Source organism: Homo sapiens, chromosome 15, assembly GCF_000001405.40.
Source record: "Homo sapiens chromosome 15, GRCh38.p14 Primary Assembly".
Lineage (NCBI taxonomy): Eukaryota > Metazoa > Chordata > Mammalia > Primates > Hominidae > Homo > Homo sapiens.
Window position 1 is genome coordinate 59540439 of NC_000015.10, and position 13018 is coordinate 59553456.

The 13018-nt window shown below is 47.2% G+C and overlaps 1 pseudogene, besides 4 other annotated features; it reads right to left on the reverse strand.

The window, feature by feature from the left end:
• Positions 2766 to 3965: an enhancer, noted in NCBI's record as "MED14-independent group 3 enhancer chr15:59835403-59836602 (GRCh37/hg19 assembly coordinates)". NCBI's record gives its function as "activates an origin of replication core promoter dependent on BRD2, BRD4, P300/CBP and CDK7 cofactors, and independent of MED14, by STARR-seq in HCT116 cells {active_cell/tissue: HCT116}" and the evidence as "EXISTENCE:reporter gene assay evidence [ECO:0000049][PMID:35650434]".
• Positions 3493 to 3652: an enhancer, noted in NCBI's record as "active region_9498". NCBI's record gives its function as "activates an Ori minimal core promoter by ATAC-STARR-seq in GM12878 lymphoblastoid cells {active_cell/tissue: GM12878}" and the evidence as "EXISTENCE:reporter gene assay evidence [ECO:0000049][PMID:35858748]".
• Positions 8223 to 8993: an enhancer, noted in NCBI's record as "NANOG-H3K27ac hESC enhancer chr15:59840860-59841630 (GRCh37/hg19 assembly coordinates)". NCBI's record gives its function as "activates a minimal SCP1, AML or CMV promoter by ChIP-STARR-seq in naive H9 embryonic stem cells {active_cell/tissue: H9 hESC(naive)}" and the evidence as "EXISTENCE:reporter gene assay evidence [ECO:0000049][PMID:30033119]".
• Positions 8994 to 9764: an enhancer, noted in NCBI's record as "NANOG-H3K27ac hESC enhancer chr15:59841631-59842401 (GRCh37/hg19 assembly coordinates)". NCBI's record gives its function as "activates a minimal SCP1, AML or CMV promoter by ChIP-STARR-seq in naive H9 embryonic stem cells {active_cell/tissue: H9 hESC(naive)}" and the evidence as "EXISTENCE:reporter gene assay evidence [ECO:0000049][PMID:30033119]".
• Positions 12134 to 12695, reverse strand: RPL21P117 (ribosomal protein L21 pseudogene 117; annotated as a pseudogene).

Here is a 13018-nt window from a genome sequence, read left to right on the forward strand (position 1 = left end):
GTTCAGGTGATCCTCGTGCCTCAGCCCCCAAAACAGCTGGGAATGCAGGTGCTCACCACCATGCCTGACTGATTTTTGTATTTTTAGTAGAGATGGGGTTTCGCCATGTTGCCCAGGCTGTTCTCAAACTCCTGGGCTCAAACGATCTACCCACCTCGGTCTCACAAAGTACTGTGATTATAGGTGTGAGACACCACGACCAGCCTGGAAATATATCTGAAGTGAAGGAAGCCAGTCACAAAAGACCACATAGGGTAAAATTTCATGCATTATAAAATGTTCAGAACAGGCCAATCTATAAACACAGAAAGTGGCTTGGTGGTTTCCAGAAACTGGGGTGAAGGTGGAATGATAAGTGACTGCTAATGCGGACAAGGTTTCTTTTTGGAGTGATAAAAATATTAAAACACTCTCTACCAATAACCTGGAGGAAAATAAACACTCAACATCCATTTAAAAATGTAATAAAGATAAAGACGTGGTTGTGCCTTTGGGTTCAAAATATAACTGGGTTGAAGTGGATGTCTCCTGCTGCCTGGCCAGCCTGTGCCTTCTTTTACTAGGGTGACAGCCTCTGGCTTCTCTTGAAGAACAAGCCCCGGTTCTGTGTGGTTCTGGTGGAAATGTTATTGAAAGGACTCCTTACCTCCCACTAAGGGGCAAATACTTTGGCTTGGAAATTTGAACTGAATTAAATGGCCTAAGGAAACTGTTGAGATGGAATCATTCTCAGGATAGCACTTGAAATCTTTCCCTCCTTCCTTCCTTCTTTCCTTCCTTCCTTCCCTTCCTCCCTCCCTCCCTCCCTCCTTCCCTTCCCTCCCTCCCTTCCTCCTTCCTTCCTTCCCTCCCTTTCTTTTTTTTGAAACAGAGTTTCACTTTTGTCATCCAGGCTGGAGTGCAATAGCATGATCTCGGCACACTGCAACCTCCACCTCCTGGGCTCAAGTGATTCTCCTGCCTCAGCCTCCCAAGTAGCGGGGATTACAGGTGCCCGCCACCATGCCCAGCTAAGTTTTGTATTTTTAGTAGAGATGGGGTTTTGCCGTGTTGGCCAGGCTGGTCTCGAACTCCAGACCTCCCAGTCCTGCTGCCTGGACTCTCCTGGAGATTGTTAGAAGCCCTAGCCCAGACCTCCTGCATCAAATTCTGCAGTTCAACAAGATCCACAGGTGCACTGTATACTCTTTAATGTTTGAAAAACTAGAGCAGAGGTTGGCAACCACAGCCGCACATTAGAATCACCTGAGACACTGGAAAACCCTCCCAGTGCCCAGCAGCACCCCAGATCAATTACATCAGCAAGTATGGTCTAGGCATCAGCATCATCGTAAAGCTCCCCAGCTGATTCCAGTGCGCAACCAGGGCTGAGAGCACCTGGGGATCCAGCCGCCTTGGGCTCCAAAAGGGCTGGGATTATAGCTGTGAGCCACCGTGCCCAGCCACACTTGTAATTTTCTAGCTGAGATACTTGGAGCTGGCCTCATCCCTGTCCTTAGGTTTGGGTACAGTCACGTGATACACTTCTTTTCTGCCTTCGTTAGCCAGAATTGGTTAAACATGAGCCTTGCAAAGGGAAACCTCAACTGATACAATGAGCCAATGTGGCTTAGCGGCAGCACAAATAGATCACACACAGGCACAGGGGTTTTAACATTAATATAAATAAACAGCAACTGGCTGGGTGCGGTGGCTCACACCTGTAATCCCAGCACTTTAGGAGGCTGAGGTGTGGATCACCTGAGGTCAGGGGTTCGAGACCAGCCTGGCTAACATGGTGAAACCCCGTCTCTATTAAAAATACAAAAATTAGCCAGGCGTGGTGGTGCATGCCTGTAGTCCCAGCTACTCGGGAGGCCGAAGCAGCAGAATCATTTGAACCCAGGAGGCGGAGGTTTTAGTGAGCCGAGATCGTGTCACTACACTCCGGCCTGAGTGACGCAGTGAGATTCTGTCTCAAAAGTAATAATAATAATGACAGTAAAAACATAACAGCAACTAACCATCAATGAGCCCTAGGCAGGCAGGGCTGTAACACTGTTCTACACACTGTATATGTTTTCCTCATTTGATTCAACCCTTTCAGTAACTTTAAGAGATGTTACTATATCTTTGCTCCATTTTACACATGACGGAACTGAGGCACAGAGAAATTCGGGAAATTTTCTGAGATCACACAGTTAATAAATGCTGGAATTAAGACTCAGATCCAGGTCTACCTGACTCAAGAATAGAGCTCCTAACTGCTATTCAGTAATGCCTCAAAAAAGCCGGAAATGCGGATAGCTGCCCAGAGCTGTTGGGACTTAAGGCTATGACTGGAGAAGCTTGAGGGAGTAGACCATGTCCTGTCTTTCTAAGACCGTGGTCTCAAAGGTAGAGCCTGCATGTTAGGGCTCTGCAGCAGAGCTCTCAGCCCTGGTTGTGCACTGGAATCACCTGAGGAGCTTTATAATGATGCTGATGCCTAGACCATACTTGCTGATGTAATTGGTCTGGGGTGCTGCTGGGCATTGGGATGGTTTTCCAATCTCCCAGGTGATTCTAATGTGCAGCCGTGGTTGCCAACATCTGTTCTAGTTGTTCATACATTAAAGAGTATACGGTGCATCTGTGGATCTTGTTGAACTGCAGAATCTGATGCAGGTGGTCTGGGCTGGGACTTCTAACAAGCTCCAGAAGATTCCAGGTCAAAGGGCGATCCCAAGTGGAAGCTTTGCTGCTCACAGTGGCAGACCTGCAGCACCCGCCTCACCTGGGAGCTGTCAGAAACTGACTGCCAGGCCCCACCGCAGACCTACGGAATCCAAAAGTGAGAACTGATGAGAGCCCAGGTGATTTGGAGGCATGTTAAAGCCTGAGAAGCACTGTGAGCCTAGCACATGATTAGAGAGGAGTGAGTAGGTTAGTGAGGGGATTGAACACGGACGCGTCTGAGCAGAGATGAGAGGAACTGGACATGGTTAGCCCGGAAGAGACAGGAAAGAACAGAGGAGCTCTGCCCAAGTGCCTTAACCCTGGAGGGGCTGCGCCGAGGAAGAGGGAGGGGACCAACTGTGCGGTTCCAAGGGCAGGACAGGAAGGTAAGCAGGACTCACTTCGGTGCCTGGGAGCTGTGGTGGGGTCTCCCTCGGGCTGCGGGAGCTGCACTGCCTGTCTAGTCAGAAAGGACAGACTCCACTAATGATGGCAGAGGGGATTTGAGCGTTGTGAGGATTCAATGACACGTATGCTTCCTCCTGACTCTGAAATTCTGAGGGTATAAGGCTGAAGGGGGAGGATGCTGGGGCCACTGGAGACGCTGTCAGTGGCTGTGGAGCTGGGGTGAGATGAGATGCAGCTGAACTTGGGTTTGAGGTCTGGAAAAGTGCAGTGTCTAGAATTGAAACTGATAAAAACTGAGTGTTGAGACACCCACAGAGGAGAGTCAAGTACCTTACCCAAACGTGCATGGGAGGAGACTCTGGACGCCCCGAAGTTCGGTAAAGGTGACCCCAAAGACCTCTCAGCCGTTGTGCTGCTGATATCTAAGGTAATGACTCAGCAGAACACCTATGGGGCATAATGAGTGAGAAAGGAGAAGTCAGGAGGCCAAGAACTGGGTGGGGTATTCATCCCACACAGGCAGAGGAAGTCAGGTGGCCTGCTGTTCCAGACAGAAACTGGAACTGAGAGGGTGAACTGTGGCACCAGGACTTCCTTGGGTGGAAGGACTAGAGTCAAGTTATTTCAAGCAATGCAGGATCATTATGAGGGAACGCTGAGGAGACGTCTGGGCCCTAGGTGGCTCCACAGATGTCAGTGGCTTGACTTAAAAATTTTTCTTTTTTTTTTTTTTTTCTAAATACAGACAGGGTCTTGCTCTGTTGCCCAGGCTGATCTCAAATTCCTGGCCTCAAGTATCCTCCCTCCTCGGCCTCCCAAAGTGCTGGGATAACAGGCATGAGCCACTGTGCCTGGGCAATAGCCTGACTTTCTAGATCCTTCTTGGCTTTGTCTTTGGTGTGACTCAGTTTCTCTCTGTGGCTCTCTGGTCTCTGCCAGTTGGTTCCCCAGCCTCTTTCCAGCTTTCACAGCCCTGGGAGGTGGCTGGGAGAGAGTGGGGGAGTCGGCAAAGGTCCCCCACAGCAGCGTGTCAAAATCCTCTTTGTACAGGGAAAGGTGACCTAATTCCTAGCTCTCCTAAACTAGACGGAGACCTTGGGCAAGTCACATTCTTTAAACCCAGAGGAATTGCCTGCATATTAAACACCCAGGACTACTGTTCTCTTCCACAAAGGAATTTCCTCTTTATTTTTCTTGAAACATGGAGCACTCTTGGGAAACCATGCGCTTTCTTTATTTGGTGGAGAGAGAAATTCGAACTTTTACCAAGTTTCCAGGCACCTGTGTCCTCCTCATGGGCGCTCAGCCAGGCCTGGGCCTCTTTCTGGAGCTTTCTGCCCCTTCCTGCTATGGAGGCTCATCAGGGCCTTCTCCTTGGTTGGGGGTATATTTGGGTGAGGGCAGGGCACTGAGGGGTGTGGGGGGCAGGGATGCAGTTGACCTTCCTTAGAAACAAATGAATGGAGCCATGGAATAGGTTTCACTGGCCTTGTTCACGGACAGAGACGTTTTGGACTTCCTCAGGCAGTACCTTTGGACTGACAGGCAAGTCAGAAAGCACAGCAGTCAAGTGTGCTGGAGAGACAGTGGGGTGCCCACATGGGTCCTTGGTCAACTCATATGGAGCAGGGCAAAGGCAACCAACACGAATTGAGTGAGTCCCCATTATAAACTGCACTGTGTTCCTCACTTAATAATTTCATTGACTCCTCATAAAACCCTCAACTGAAGGCCGGGCACGGTGGCTCACGCCTGTAATCCCAGCACTTTTGGTGGCCAACGTGGGTGGATCACCTGAGGTAAGGAGTTCGAGACCAGGCTGGCCAACATGGTGAAACCCCGTCTCTACTAAAAATACAAAAAATTAGCCGGGTGTGGTGGCACGTGCCTGTAATCCCAGCTACTTGGGAGGCTGAGGCAAGAGAATTGCTTGAACCTGGGAGGCGGAGGTTGTAATGAGGTTGTCTCTCATGCCATTGCATTCCAGCCTGGGCAACGCAGTGAGACTCTCTCAAAAACAAAACAAAACCCTCAATTGAGAGATGAGTAACTGTGGCTCACAGAGGAATGACTTGCCCCGGGTTACCCACCCAGTGGGTGGCAGCGCTGGGGTGCCTGGGGCCCTCTTCCATTCTGTGCAAGTTCTTCTTAGAGACTTGGGCCACCTGTTGGGCACTGCTTGTAGAGGTGCCCTAACTGCTGGGACGTGGAAACACTCACTTTAGGGCCCGAAGAAAGGGCTATTGTTCTCCAGGATCCCCTGGCTCTTAACCGTTTTTTCAGCGGATTATGATAATCCCAGGAAGGCAGTCATTGGTTTAGCTACTTTCTGGAACTAGCCTTGCAGCTAATTTATCTTGGAGGGCTCACGAGGAAGTGTCTGTGCTCAGAGCTGTGTGTTCGGTGCACAGCTGAAAAGGAATGGGGTGATAGTTCTGCACCTGCTGCTTGAATGTTTTCCGGCCAACAGTTGCTGTAGCCCTGCTCAGGGGATGCCCTGTCCAGGTTTTACTTATTTTTCTTATGTTCATTGCAACACTCTTCATGCCTTTGCTTATATTTTAGAGAGGGCTAGGGGAGGGGTGGCTGTGTCCTCAGGCACCGGTCATGGCGCCTTTCTGAGCAAAAGTAACTTGTAAAAGATTCCAAACAGGCATGCTTTCGACATGCCCTCCTGGTGGATGAAAGTTCCAGGGCAACCCCTATAGAGTGGAAGTTCTGAGGCCATCCCCAGAAGGTGAAAGTTCTGAGGCCACGTCCTAGAGGTGAAAGTTCCGTGGCAGGTATGCCTTGGTGGTCTGCCCATTGACTGTCAGCTCTCAAGGAGAGATCTGTTTTGGAGCACAAGGTTAGAAGAACTTGCTCTGTAGGGAATGTTTGGTGAGGCGGAAGGTGAAAGGTTATATTTGCACTTCTGAAGGGCTAGGTAGGAGATGGGGAGCCAGGGACGGTAAAGAAGACAGAAAAAAACCCACCTCTTAGATAAATTGGGGTACTTGGTTACCGTTCCCTAACCCCAAGTTCGCTCCCATTTCTATGGGATCTAGGTGCCATATTCATTCTGGCTGCTTTCTGCTGAAAGGTGGGTGTAGTCATTGGACCTCAGAATGGAACTGATCTACTTGGAGTTGGGAATATTCACAAGTACGTGGACTTACAGATGATACTGGTTGGAGCATTATGGTGTGAGGTTTAGAACAGGGGTCCCCAGCCCTCGGGTCGCAGATCAGTACCAGTCCCTGAGCTGTTGGAAACCAGGCCGCACAGCAGGAGGTGAGCAGCAGGCTAGAGAGCATTACCGCCTGGGCTGTGCTTCCTGTCAGATCAGCTGCAACATTAGAGTCTCATAGGAGCGCAAAACCTGTTGTGAACTACACAACCAAGGGAATGAGGCTGTCCATTCCTTGTGAGAATCTAATGCCTGATCTGAGGTGGAACAGTTTCAACTCAAAACCATCCTTCCCTCCCCTTCACCCCATCCTGTGGAAAAATTGTCTTCCATGAAACTGGTCCCTGGTTCCACAAAGGTTGCAGACTGCTTGTCTAGGTCTCTGAAAGAGCTTGCCTTGTTTTCCCGTATAGAGGATACAACAGCAGTAAGCTCCACAATGGAGGGATATGCCCATCCCTGCAATTGGGGCCACTGTTAAAAGTAGCTTTGCCACCAGAATGGTCCTGTCCTGAATCAGGTTGCTAACCATTGGTCTAGTGACAATGTAGGGTCAGACATAACTTTAAGTTGTTTGTACATGTCTTTCAGGGCTATTAGAGGCATTTCCCAAATTCTTAGTTATCATGCAAGTTCCCCACTGACAATCATAACCAGATATCATGTCAGGTTGGCTAAGTATATATGTTTAACGGGCTACAGAAGGAGCTATGAATACTCATGAAGGTGGTCATAGCCCTGTCCAATTTTTGAGAATGGATCAGCTTAAATAGTAATAGCTGTGTCTCATTCAGGAGGTGGCGTTGCGTATGGGCTAGACTTTTGCCTGGGATGAGCCTCAGCACCCCAGGTCTCCGTGGTGTGGAATGGGTTCCTCTCACCTCTGCAAGCCACCAGTAAAGGTGAATTTTTTCCAGCCAGAGGGAGCTAGGGGTGCCTGCTGCCGAGAGGAGTAAAGCTGTAAGTGGCTGTTAGTGTAAGTAAAGCTGATAGTGTGAACGGAAAATATCTTGGGCCCTTTCAAGCTGGGAACTGCTTCAGGCAAGTCTGTCTTTCATTCTATTTGAAGTCATCCCTCTGCTCACTGAGAGAGGTGCATATTCTGATTGCCTCCTTTGGAATGGCTAATCAGAAACTCAAAAAATGCAGCCATTTGTCACAGGTACCTGAGACCTGGAAGCCCCCTCCCTGCCTTTCTGGATGGAACCAGTGTACTTCTTACATGTACTTCTTGATTGATGTCTCACGTCTCCCTAAAATGCATAAAACCAAGCTGTGCCCCGACCATCTTGGGCACATGTTGTCAGGACTTCCTGAGGCTGTGTCACAGGCCCGTGTCCTAAACTTCGGCAAATCTCCTGAAATGATTGAGACTTGTCTCATTTTTCTCGAATGACAGTAATTACAAGGGTGAAGTTGGAGACAGAAAGGAAAAGAAATCGGGGCCCATACACAAAGCCATACGTTCACACAAACAAATGGTGCACTTCCAAACAAAATCCCTGGTGGAGGCTGGGTGAGAGCCTGAATCCTCCACCCCAGTTCCGAAATGGCTCCATGGACATCTGAGTCCCATCTGAGCAGAGCTGCTATGGTGTTACAGGACAGAGCAGGAGCATCACCATCTTGGACAAACACCGCCATTTTAAGTTCCCCTTGATTAAAAACCACCTAAATCCAGCCCCCAGAAGTCAACCTAATGGCTAATGCCAGCATGACCATAAACCACAAATGGTACCTCCGACTGGAAACATTCCAACCCCTAGATAAACCCCCCTCCGACCAGAAACATGCCAACTCTGCAATAAAACTTTCCTCTGCCCAGAACCATTCTGAACCTAAGACAAGCTCTCCCTCCCTAAACCCTTAAATACCCTTAGTCTGTAAGAGAGAACACTCCTGACCTAAATTGGCCAGAAGCCCCTCTCCGGTTTATTCTCCAAAATAAACCTGTCTTTGACTGTTGAGCCACTTTTTGTGTTTGTCTCCTTTCTTTAACCCTTACTCTGTACATACAAACAAAAATGCTCAAATGATACCACTAGCAGCCAGGTCCTATGCACGGCAGGGCTTCAGTGACACCTCAAAAGAGGCAGAGGGTAGTCAGGGGTACTCCTGACCAACTTAGTTCTGAAGTTTACTGGGTTTCTGTTTTTCTTTTTTTGAGTTCACTTGCTTTGTATCAGCAAAGTGTTGAAGGCAGCAAACATCATGCAGGGAGGCAATAGGGAGGTGCCTCCAAAACAAAAGCATTTTTGGCAGCCGCTGGGAAATTCCCTAATGTTCCCATCTTGGGGTTCGCTAGCCACCAGCAGCTGCTACTCCCAGGCAACCTCATACCTTGCCCAGTAGCTCAGGCACAGGCCTACCCGTAGCGCACAGTGCTTCCCCGTACAGGCCACCAACATCATAACTGAAAGGTGGGTTAGTTGTTCACATGCCGAGTCCAATTAACAAGAACGAGGCCTGATACAAAGCAAGTGAATTGATTCTGAAGCTATTATAGCTTGGGGAAGATGTACAGATGTCCTGCTGTGTGGCTTTACTTGTGGAGCAGAAAACAGGCATTTTTATAAGGTAAGGGAAGAAATGAGCAAGGGCGGGGGTTCCCTGCTAGCTTGCTGTTTTAGCCATGGGGCAGTTGGCGCTTTCCTAGGCAGAAGTAAGTTGTAAAAGTGGCCACTGCCCATACGCTTTCAAACGCCTGCCTGGAGGGTGGAAGTTACCTGGGGAGCATGCTTTGGTTTGCAAATCTACCGTCAGCTCTCTAGGAAAGATCTGTCTTGGGGCATAAAGTTAGAAGAATTTGCCATGTAGGGAATGTCTGGTGAGACAGGAGGTGAAAGGTTATATTTGTACTTCTGAAGGGCTAATTAGGAAACAGGGAGCCACAGAAACAAGAGGGAAGGTGTGGGGTGGGGATGGGTGGGGGGGTGGTGGGGTGGGGGTGGGTGTGGAGGAAGTAATTAAATCGTTGTGAACCATTGTGAAGTATCTGAGACAGATCTCAATTTAGAATGTTTACTTTGCCAAGGTTAAGGACGCACTGTGACAGCCTCAGGAGATTCTGATGACCGGTGCCCAAGGTGGTCAGAATACAGCTTACTTTTATACATTTTAGGGAGACATAATGTATCAGTCAATATGTGTAAGATCTACATTGGCTGGATCTGAAAGGGTCATAGGTAGATTTAAATTTTTTCTGATTGGCAATTGGTTGAAAGAGTTATCAGTAGAAAGGAATGTCTGGGTTCTGCTGAGGGATTGTGAAGCCCTAGGTTTTATGTAGATGAGCCTCCAAGTAGCAGGCTTACAATGGACTGTAAATGTTTCTTATCAGACTTAAGGTCCCTATTGGTGTTAATGCTGGAGGGGTATAATGAGGCATATCCTGCCCCCCTCTTCCATCGTGGCCTGAACTAGATTTCCAGGTTAACTCTAGAATGCCCTTGGTTGAGAGGAAGGGTCCATTCAAATGTTTGGAGCAGGGGAGCCTTAGAATTTGTTTTGGTTTAACCACTCTAGAAAAATGGGGCTACTTGGAGACGGGGCGTAGTGGCTAACGCCTATAATCCCAGCACTTTGGGAGGCCAAGGCAGGCGGATCACCTGAGGTCAGGAGTTCAAAACCAGCCTGGCCAACGTGGTAAAACCCTGTCTCTACTAATGATACAAAAATAAGCCGGGCATGGTGGTGGGTGCCTGTAATCCCAGCTACTTGGGAGGCTGAGGCGGGAGAATCGCTTGAACCCAGGAGGCAGAGGTTGCAGTGAGCCGAGATCATGCCATTGCACTCCAGCCTGGGCAACAGGAGCAAAACTCCATCTCAGAAAAAAAAAAAAAAAAAAAAAAGTGGGGGTGCTTGGTTACACTCTGAAGTTCCTACAGTGACCCTACCAGGGTCCATGTGATCTGTCTTGCCCCCTCTACCATTTCCTCTTTTTCTTAGCACTTCTCCACTCCTCCTTGCTTTTTGCTCTGGGGAAGTTAACTTCCCAGCAAGCCAAACCACTCCCTACCCCAGTGCCTCTGTTCTTGCTGTTTCTTCAGATATCTACAGTTCCCTGAACTTTCAGGTCATTACTCAAACGTGACCTTCTCAGTGAGGACTTTCCTGACTCCATAAAAATTTCCTTCCTCTAGCACTCTCTTGCCTTTTCTTGCTTTATTTTCTGTAACACTTACCCATCTGATATACCATATAATTTTACTTATATATTGCCAGTTTCATTCCCCTAGAATTTAAGCTCGTGAAGTAGGACATGTTGTTTGTTTATGTAGAAGAGTGCAATAAAAGGTGCTCAGAATTATCCATTGAATAAACAGATGAATGGCTGGGGTCTCCAGGGCAATGCCTTTAGGGCCCAGTTATGCAACATTAATGTATGAAGCCACAGTATTAAAAACAATAGAGGAGGAAAACGGAAGCATGCATTCCCCTCTTAAGTGCATTGACTTTAAAATAACAGCAGTGGCAATCACAAACACAGTCCCAGCTAAACAAACGTTGCCTATGATTTGCAAGTTTGCATAGGATGTACCAGAGCAGCAGATGTCTGAGGCCTGGACCTACTAGAACTGCTGACAATAAATGGCTCTGACAAGATGTGGTGGCTCTTGCCTGTAATCCTAGCACTTTGGGTGGCCGAGGTGGGAAGATCGCTTGAGCTCAGGAGTTAAAGCCCAGCCTGGACAATAAAGTGAGACCCTATCTCTATAGAAAATAAAAAATTAGCCAGGCCTGGTGGCATGTGCCTGAAGACCCAACTTTCCAGAGGCTGAGGCAGGAGGATCGTTTGAGCCCAGAAAGTTGAAGCTGCAGTGAGTTACGATCATCATGCCACTGTACTCCTCCCTGGGCAACAGAGCAAGACTCTGTCTCAAAATAAGAGGCTCTATGGAGATACGCCTATGGTTTTCCTTGAGGAATCTTCTAAGAATTTCTGTGATTACCCATTCTAAAGACATTGATTGTTGAGATAATCGTTCATTTTATTTAAAAAAAAAAACTTTCTTTCAGGTCACGTATGTGTTTCAGTTTTTTTTTTTTCTTTTGAATCAGACCCTCAGAGTTACGTTACTCATAGTTTGAAGCTAGAAAATTTAGAGTTGAGTTTGTGGCCCAATTTCTTAACCCATTTAGGCTGGAGGTTGCGATTTTTTGAATTGCAGACGTGTGAAAAATCAGACCTTGGTGGTGACCTGGAGCAGTAGGATATAAACAACTCCCACATGCTTAGTGTTCCAATAATGGAACACCAGGCATACATGGGTTAAGGGAATAAGACTTCTTGGTATGTGTTTTTGTATTAGCCACGTTTTTTATTCCGTTTTGTATTCTGTCCATATTGATGAAAACTTCAGCCGAATTAAATTTAAAGGAGTTGAATTGATCAATGAAAAATGTGCGAATCGAGCAGCCCCCAGAATCACAGGAGATTCACAGAGACCCCAGGGCTTCCACGTGGTGGAAGATTTATTGACAAAGAGAAATGGCATACAGAAATTGGAAGTGAGGTACAGAATGGCTGGATTGATTACAGTTCGGCGTATGCTTTATTCGAACACAGTTTGAACCCTCAGCAGTGTATGAATGGTTGAAGTATGGCCACTTCTTGTCATACTTGGATTGGCCAAGACATAGCTATTGTTACAGGCTCAGACTCCTAAGTTAGGTTTTCAATTTTGTCTGTTAAGCTAGGTTACAGTTCATTCACAAGGACTCAAATACAGAAGTACGGTGTCCTTGGGCCATATTTAGTTTGCTTTAACACTTTTGTTCCTTTGTTTCATCTTTCCTCTGGCTTTTGTTGCCTTAGTATGTTTTATTTTATTATTTATTTGTTTATTTATTTTTTACAGCCCAGAGGTCCTTTATTTATTATTATTTTTAACACCTCTTATGCCATGAATTCATAGGGAAGAGGTTCCAGCAGCTCAGGCTCCTTCCCATTGGTTCTCACAAAGTGTGCTTCTCTGGGTGGAGCAGGCTGGTGCTTCAGTTGAACCCAGGTAGCTTTCTCTTTGGCTTCTTTGTTTTTCTGATCATTTTTCTTCACATGTTTCAGGAAGCTATCTTGGCTCTTAGAGTGCTCAATGTGCTCAATACACACATTAATTCTCTTGGCAAGAATCTTGCCCTTAACTGTTTGTTTACAACAATGCCAACAGCATGCTGGGGGACACGGCAGACTCTTCCAGTTTAGCCGTGGTAACACTTGTGGGGCGTTCCTTTTTGAACAGTACCCATTCCCTTGATGTCTACAATATCACCTTTCTTATAGATTCACATATATGTGGCCAAAGGAACGACTCCATGTTTTCTAAAAGGACTAGAGAACATATATCGGATGCCTCTCCTCTTTCCCTTTGTGTTGGTCATTTTGGCGAATTACTGGAAGATGGCGGTTCCCGCCGAAAGGCGCCTTAGTATATTTTATGTATATTTTAGTTAAATCTTCTTTTTAGATAAGCTTGGATTCAAGTAAATTAATTAACTGAATGAATACTAACTTGCTCAGACTCCAGAAATGGAAGACACCCAGAGGAAATAGTTTCCTTTCTTCTTCCCCGTTCCCTCTCTTGCCCTCCCTCTGTCCCATCCCCCCTCCCTCTCGTCTCTCTCTCTCTTGTCTCTCTTTTAATTAATGTTTTCCAACTCAAAGGTGTCACATGCTTTGATCATTACTGGAAATTGAGAGAGAATTAGAAGTGAGAGAGGAATATGACGGGGGTCTGAGAGGGA